Source organism: Homo sapiens, chromosome 16, assembly GCF_000001405.40.
Source record: "Homo sapiens chromosome 16, GRCh38.p14 Primary Assembly".
In the NCBI taxonomy this organism is placed as follows: Eukaryota; Metazoa; Chordata; class Mammalia; order Primates; family Hominidae; genus Homo; species Homo sapiens.
The window spans coordinates 9,402,053-9,410,161 of NC_000016.10; the positions used below are offsets into that span (position 1 = coordinate 9,402,053).

At 42.3% G+C, this 8,109-nt stretch overlaps 1 long non-coding RNA gene across 1 annotated transcript in view; it reads left to right on the forward strand.

Moving 5' to 3' along the window:
• LINC02177 (long intergenic non-protein coding RNA 2177) overlaps positions 1-6,041 on the forward strand; it is a 52,506-nt gene extending 46,465 nt beyond the window's left edge. Inside the window, exon 3 of the long non-coding RNA NR_135195.1 lies at positions 991-6,041. This is a non-coding gene — a long non-coding RNA (long intergenic non-protein coding RNA 2177). The remainder of the gene's footprint in view (positions 1-990) is intronic.
• Positions 6,042-8,109: the final 2,068 nt, after the last annotated feature.

Genomic DNA, 8,109 nt, shown 5'->3' on the forward strand with positions numbered 1-8,109 from the left:
CATGGTGGGAACCCTGGCTAAGGCAACTCTTCTGTAGACTAGATCCTATGCAAAGAATTTTATGCATAATAACTCATTCAATCCTCACAACACCCTATGAGGTAGGTGCTATTATATCCATTTTACAGATGTGGAAATAGAGACTCAGAGACGTAAAATGACTCAGCTCAGCCAACGACACACTGCCAGGAAGTGTCAGGGTTGAGTTTGAGCCCTGGTCAGTATAACTTCAAAGGCATTGTTCTGACTCCACTGTCCTATCTACAATCACATATCATCATCAGAACCCAGTGGGTTCCAGTTTGTGCCACGGGTTTTCCCTTCTCTGGGTGGTGGAGGACTCTCTCACCAAGGGTGTTGCAGGTGAGCACTGTCTTTGTTCTGCGCCTATGGTCTGTGTCCACCCCTGGGAACTGATGTTCCAAAATTTCAGATTCAGGACCATGGCCAAGAGCTTGAAGGCTCCCACCCTTCTGAATTCTAAGTACTTTGAAACTCATTTGAGATTCGTTGGCAGCAGAAAAAGGGGAAAATACACTTGACTTGCTGTGTTATTTTTGTTTTCTTAAAGTGGCCCCAAGACCAATTTGGTAGCGAGCCCAAGGCCCCTGGACGAGTCAGTTCTAGTCTGGAGACAGGAGCTGACTGCTGATGTCTGCCAAAGCTGGCATTGTTTTCCTTTTGCAAGAAGAAAGTGAGTCTCATCTTAAAAAATGTTCTGTTCCTGTGCTCCATGTTTCTGCAGTGTCAACCTCTGGACACCCATCCCAGCTAGACTTGTGATTCAGTCATTGGCATCTGCTTATGAATGCAATTTAGAGGGTGCCAGGAAAACTCAAACCTCTCGAGTAACTCACCCTCATATGCTGCAGGGACCTGAATTCATCTTTGGTGCAGATAGAAACCAATATGTACTGAACATCACACCTGCTATGTGCTGTGTGTTTTATATGAAATTTCTCATTCCACCTTCATATTTCCATTACACAGATGAGAAAACTAAGGCCCAAAGGGACACCTGGCTTTCCTAAGACCTGTAAGTGGAAGAGTCAGCATTTGAATGGAGAACTCGCAGCTTTCGGAGTCTAGACTTGTTTTACCTCACCAGACTGCTTCTACTCCTAGTGATTCCTTCCCTTAGATTAAGCCTTGCTCTCTTCCCGTGCAATCATGAAGAGGATTATATTAGTAAATCCCTGAACATTCCCTGATTGGGGAGTGAGGGTCAAACCAAGGCAAATGGCAGGATTGACACTCACATCAAGGGCTGGCTCATTAAGGGCTCGGGACCTGGCGATCGAGTTGCATTGCAGATTTTGGAAGTATGCAAGACCACGCCAGCCACCTTTCCAGGGAGAGACCATGCAAAGAAGGCAGGTGATCCAAGGGCTGGGAGTGGTGAGGACTGCTCCAGCCCCTGAGCAGCTGTCATCCCAGCACAAAGTGTCAGAAGAGACCTCAAAGTGTGGTCTGCAGACGAGGCAGCATCTGCATCACCTGGGAGCTTGTTAGAAATGCAGAATCTTCTGAGAGAACCAGACCTGCTGCATCAAAATCTGCATTTTAACAAGATTGTAACTTAGATACACAGTAACACTTAAAAAGGATGGGGCAGAGAGGCTAAGTCAGCAGCTTCTCATCACACTCCAATCTGATGCTGCTAGTGCTCCAAAAAGCTCTCATATCCTCACTGACTAGCCTAGGGCTGTGTCTATCAATGCATTATATGACACAGATGAAGACTATTGTGTACCTTCCTCAATTTTTACCCCATTGTTTCAGCCTTTTGTACATCTTTAATGCAAACATCCATGCGAGAATTCTTGTGACATTAATTTTTTGGAACAACCTGTTTTGCAGAGCAAATTTCATTAAGCCATTTTAATCCAGAGTTTAATTTTTTATACAGCTCGACTCAATCATTTCCATTTTTTTTCCATTAGAATGTCTATTTGTAGTAACATTATTTTCATGGGATCAATTATTTTCTGTTTAAATTTACAACAGGCATTTGACTCATCAGTCTCTTTTTATATACCATCTTTTTGCTGATTCTGACTTCTGCTATTTGGAGAGGTTTTCTTGTTTGTGTGTTTGATTCTTTTGTGGCCATTCTTTCTATTAAGTGAAAATCGTCTGGATCAAATTTTGTAGATTTAAATTTTGTTATTAGTGATACCTGTTTTTTTTCCCTGTCAATTTTAGCTCATTACACATTCTAGTCATTTTAACCCTGCTAGTTTTGTTAGTTGCTGATCACTTTTACCATACCAGTAATACGTGGTAGAAATAATCACCAGAATGAAAACTCTGCAAAGGCAGGATTTCTGTCCCTTTTTTTTTTTGTTTTTTTTTTTTTCCTGCCTTATACTTGAGACTTAGTGCATGGCACATAGAAAGTGCTCCATATGGCCAGGCGCAGTGACTCACGCCTGTAATCCTTGCACTTTGGGAAGCCAAGGCAGGTGGATCACTTGAGGTCAGGAGTTTGAGACCAGCCTGGCCAACATGGTGAAACCCCGTCTGTACTAAAAATACAAAACATTAGCCAGGCATGGTGGCGGGCACCTGTAGTCCCAGCTACTCGGGAGGCTGAGGCAGAGAATCACTTGAACCCAGGAGGCAGAGGTTGTGGTGAGGTGAAGTCACACCACTGCACTCCAGCCTGGGTGACAGAGCGAAACTCCATTTAAAAAAAAAAGAAAGAAAGTACTCCATAAATATTTGTAGGTGGAAAGAATGATATTCACATATGATTTAATCAAAGACTGACAGTTTATCTATTTGATAAAAAGACTGTGAGAAGCAGAGATTGATGGAGACAGGAGAGAAAGTGGAGGAGAAGAGAAGATGGAGACAGCACACACACATGCACAGACTTGAACATGCAGACACACATTGCACATGCACATGCATGCACACAGCCACACACGTATACACAAACACACATGCGTGCACACAGCCACACGTATACACAAACACATGCGTGCACACACCACACACATATATGTAAGCACACATGCATGCACACAGGCATACACATATACATAAACACGCATGCACACAGCCACACACATATACACACAAGCATGCACATACACAGAGGCATATATACACATGCACTAACATACGCATAGTCACAGATACACCTGTAGGTGCAAACACCTATATATGTGTTCACATTCATACACGGGAGTTATTATATTTGTGCTCACACATGTAGAGGGTAGAATTGTGGTTATTAGATGCTGGGAAGAGTAGAGGAAGAGAAGATAGGGAGAGGCTGGTTGGTGGATACAAAGTTACAGCTGAATGAGAGATAATTTTGACTGTTCTGTATACTGTAGGATGAATATGGTTAACAATAACTTAGTGTATATTTTCAAAAAGCCAGAAGAGAGGATCTTGAATGTTCACAGCACAAATAAATGATAAATGTTTGAGGTGATGGATATGCTACTCTGATTTGATCATTACACATTGTATAAATGTATTGAAAAATCACTCTGTATCCCATAAATATGTATAATTATTATGCATCAACTAAAAATTAAAGACCACACATATATGCACACATAGACATGCACATGAACACACATACTCATGCATATGTGTATACATGCAGAGTTACACATATACACAAACACACATATATGCACACATAGACATGCACATGAACACACAGACATACTCATGCATATGCGTATACATGCACAGTTACACATACACACACATGCACACATAGACATGCACATGAACACACAGACATACACATGCATATGCGTATACATGCAGTTACACATATACACAAACACACATATATGCACACATAGACATGCACATGAAGACACTATGCACATGTCCACACATGCACACAGCCACACACATACATATATACACAAATACCCATAAATATGCACATGTAGACAGCATGCACACAGAGATACATATGCACACACACAGCCACATGTATACACACTTGTGCAAATGTATGCACACACAGACACACATATGCCCATACATAGGCATATACACGTACAGATTCAGATATAAACACATACAAACACTCATGTACATATGCAAACACATGTACACACACAGTCTGCTGGCATAGTGATGGCTAAACCAATGCAGGGTAGGGTAAAATGTCTCTGGTGCAAGGTCAGTAGGATAAAATCTGCAGGATCAAATGGAATGCTTAACAACACTCCTCTGTGGGGTATCAGTGTCTCCATTTTACAACCAGTGCTTAATCAAATGCACATTGAGTTGAACTGAATATTGGAAAATGAATTGCTACCTTTGAATGAATCTACTGAAAAATTATACTTGTCCTGGGTCAGACCGTGTGAAAAGCACTGGGTATTGGAGATGAAAAGTGGTTGGCCCTTTTTCTTTGAAAGCTTAGTCCAGTGGGGAAGATGGATGTGGAAGCTGAGCAATTAAAATGCAGCTTGATAAAAGCTGTGCTGAAAAACCCTCACTGAGCTGAGCAGTGGGGGCTGGGAGGGAGCAGGTCTTAAACTGAATGATCAGGTTTAGTGGGAGCTGTTTAAATTCTGAGCCATCAGGCATTTTTGCTGGATTCCTTTCGGTGCGCTTGTTAATCAATTATAAAATAATAATAATGAACACTTCAGGAGAGAGGATGGAGGTTGAAAGACAGTGGAGGGCTGGACTTGAGGTTGGAAGATTTGCAGAGACCTGGATTGTGCATTCGACCTTTACAAATTGAAGCGAGAGGCTTTGCATCTCTGAACATCAGGATTCCACTCTATAAAAAGGAGAATGAAAGCATTCAGTTTATAGGTTTGCTGTGAGGGCTCAACGAGAATGTGGATCCAAAAAAGCTTTGGAAACCAAAATACCGCTAGTTAGCTTGCTGCTTTATTATCCAAAAGAGGCTGCAAAGATTTGAGGTTTGTTTGTAGTTTGTTTGTAGATTAGTCAGTGTCTACTAAAATAACACTGTGTAACAACCATGCCCAAATCTTGGTGGCTTAATACCTTAAACGTTATTTTTCTCATTCATGAGGCTGTAGGTGGGTTGGAATTTGGCAGATGTAGGCTGGAATTAGCTGGACCTGCCTCCAGGACCAGGGTTGGACCCAAGTCTTCTGTACGTGTCACCTTCTTTTGGTGCCAGTGCTACCTGGGATTTTAATTTCATGGTTTTGCAGAAGCGTAAGAGGGCATGCCAACCACGTGAACACTTTTAAAGCCTAACATCCTATAGGCCAAAGCCAGCCACAGGTCCAAACTCAACTTCAATAGGCAGGGAAAGTCCTCCACCTACTTTACCAGGGGAGTACTGCAGAGCAATGACCGAGGAAGGAAATGTTTAATCCTATTAGGGAGGGAGGGGGGGACCAGGAACACAAATCCCTCAAGGCAGGACGAGTAATGGTTGGCTGCCCAAGGTTGACAGACTGGGTCTCAGTTCCTGGCACTGCTCCTCTCTAGCCATGAGACTTTAGGCAAGTCAACATTTCAGAGCCTCAGTTTCCTCATCTGTAAAGTGGGTATAATAATAGAATTCTCACAGAATTTCAGTGAGGATTGCCTGATTCATGACAACAGCCTTATAAGTGGTCCCCTTCTTTTACCTCGCATCTTCTGTAATCTCTTCTCTATGCTTCATCCTTTAAATACAAAAGTCACCCGTAAAGACAGAAAACAGATTAGTGGTGGCCAGAGGTGGTGGAGGGAGAGAGGGGGAGAAATGAGAGAAGTGCTAAGGGGTATGAGGTTTCCTTTTGGGGCGATGAAAATGTTCTAAAATCGATGTGGTTATGGTTGTACAACTGCAAATATACAATCCCTCTGCCTGGAACCTTTTCCCCAAGAAATCTGCCCCCACCGTAAATCCTCACTTGCATACTGTATAATGAGGCTTTTCTGGACCACCCTATTTAATTACCCACTCCTTTCTGTCCATGCCTCTCTCTCGATATATTTTCTCTGAATGTTTGTAGCAACTTGACATATTTTGCATGCTTATACACTATGTACTTTATATTAAAGCACAGTTATGTAATTTATTTCTCTGGTCCTTTCACCTCCTTTCCTCCCTCCCTGAAATATGCCAGTAGAATGTAACCTTCAGGAAGGCAAGGATATTTACCTTCTGGGTTTGCTGCTGTCTCCCTAGACAGCTCCTGGCACACAGTAAGCCTTTTAAAAATATTTGTTGAATGCATGATATAAGCCATATAATGCTTAGTAGGTGCTCAGGGCTGAGGAACATAATTGATGTTAGCTTTTATTATCTTTATTTACTTCAAATAACCTACTTAATTGGGAAATTTTCCGGGTCTGGAGGGACTCTGAGTTTGAGTCCAGTATCTTCCCTGGGAGTCCTTGCTTGCACAAATGTGTGGGATAGACTCCCGCTGTGTCTGTGGACTCAACGTCTCAGCTCCAGGCTCTTTGCTGCCAGGCATAGTGAGCCGTGACATTTATAAATCTCTGGGCTCTTAATCCCCTGCTGATCCTCGGAGAGGAGTAGACATTTGTTGCTAAACACATTGCCCCACTTTGAACAAAGAAACGAAGAGATACCCCAAGCATCAATACAACAGCTGCCTGCGATGGCTGTGACGTCCCTTCTATCCTAAGGAGGAGGGTACTGGGACTCAGTCCTGTGCACTGACCTGCCCCACTCACCTGGCTGGTGAGGGGTGCAGTTACTACCTTTGGAACACATATCATTGGGTTTTTGTATTGCATTCTTCTGTCTCTGAGCAGATCTGTTTGTTTAATGGTCTCTTCCTCACATTCAGCTCAAGCCTGTAAATCCTTCGTATAAATTCTGCCTGCTCCTTGATACCAATCTGTTCTCCTCCAAGTAAATCTTTTAAAGACAATACTCCAGCAGCACCGGGAGAACATTTCCTGCAAAATCATGCCCGGAAGCCCCTGTTAGCATGCAAATATGCCCCTTTGCAGCATGTTCTGATTGTAACTCGTGATGCACAGTGCAGAGAATTAAGCCGGGTCCCTTCCTCATCAGTCACCATTTAATGGAGACTGAATGGTTGTGGATACTTTTGTTAGGGTCATCAAGAAGGTTTGCCATGCTTGGCTTGGTAAGGAGGAGGTTGTGTGCTCCTGTAAGACAAACCTAGCACTTTATAGGCTCCCAAAAGCCCATGGTAGTTACAGGAGCCATGAAAAACAAACATGTAGACATTCAGTAGTGGTCTCAGGAACCCCTATTGGCAAACTCACCATTTATGGAAAGACCTGGAGGGCAGTGTCTTTGGCCATGACATGAAACAGCCCAGTAAGCTGCAAAGGCCAGATTGAAGAGAGCTGTTGAAAATTCATTTGCTTGCTATAGGCTGGCTTTTTATTTCATTTTATTTTATTTGTTTATTTATTATGTTTTTTAGCAAACCATCTGAAATGGGATGAGAGAGCCATATTTGGGCATACCACCTATTGGACCAGCAGTTCTACAGAGGCGAGGGTCCATTTTTTGTTTTGCAGAAGCCTCTCTGTCAGCAGTTCTCAAAAGGAAAGGAGTTTATTTATCTTCAGTTCAGCAAAATTTACTAAGTGCTGACAATGGGCTAAGGGGATAGAGACGAAGAAGGAGATTCTTGCCCTCCAGAAATTTACAGCCCAACATAATGTAAACACTTTTCTATACAACACTTGCAAATAGTAATTGTGTGGAAATTCAAATGGTGGACTTACATGTTATCAGACTCTGTGTGTGTGCATATGTGCATGTGTGTGTAGGTCACTCCCTAAAGAATGACAAATATGCTAAGATTTTAGTTACTCCTTGCTTTTTTTGTCCCCCCTCCTCGTTTTTTAACCTTTATTGAAGTATCATTCACATACCGCAGACTGCAACCACTTCAAGTGTAAAGCTCAGTGACTATTAATATATTTACAGAGTTGTGCAACCATAACTGCAATCTTATTTTAAGTAATTTCTACCTCCCCAGAAAGAAGCCTTGTGCCCATTTGAAGTCCCTCTCCTTCCTAACCCCAGCCTGAGGCAACTACTAATCTATTTTCTGTCTCCATGGATTTTCCTTTTCTGCACATTTTATGTAATGAAATCATGCCATATGTGGGTTTTTGTGCCTGGTTTCT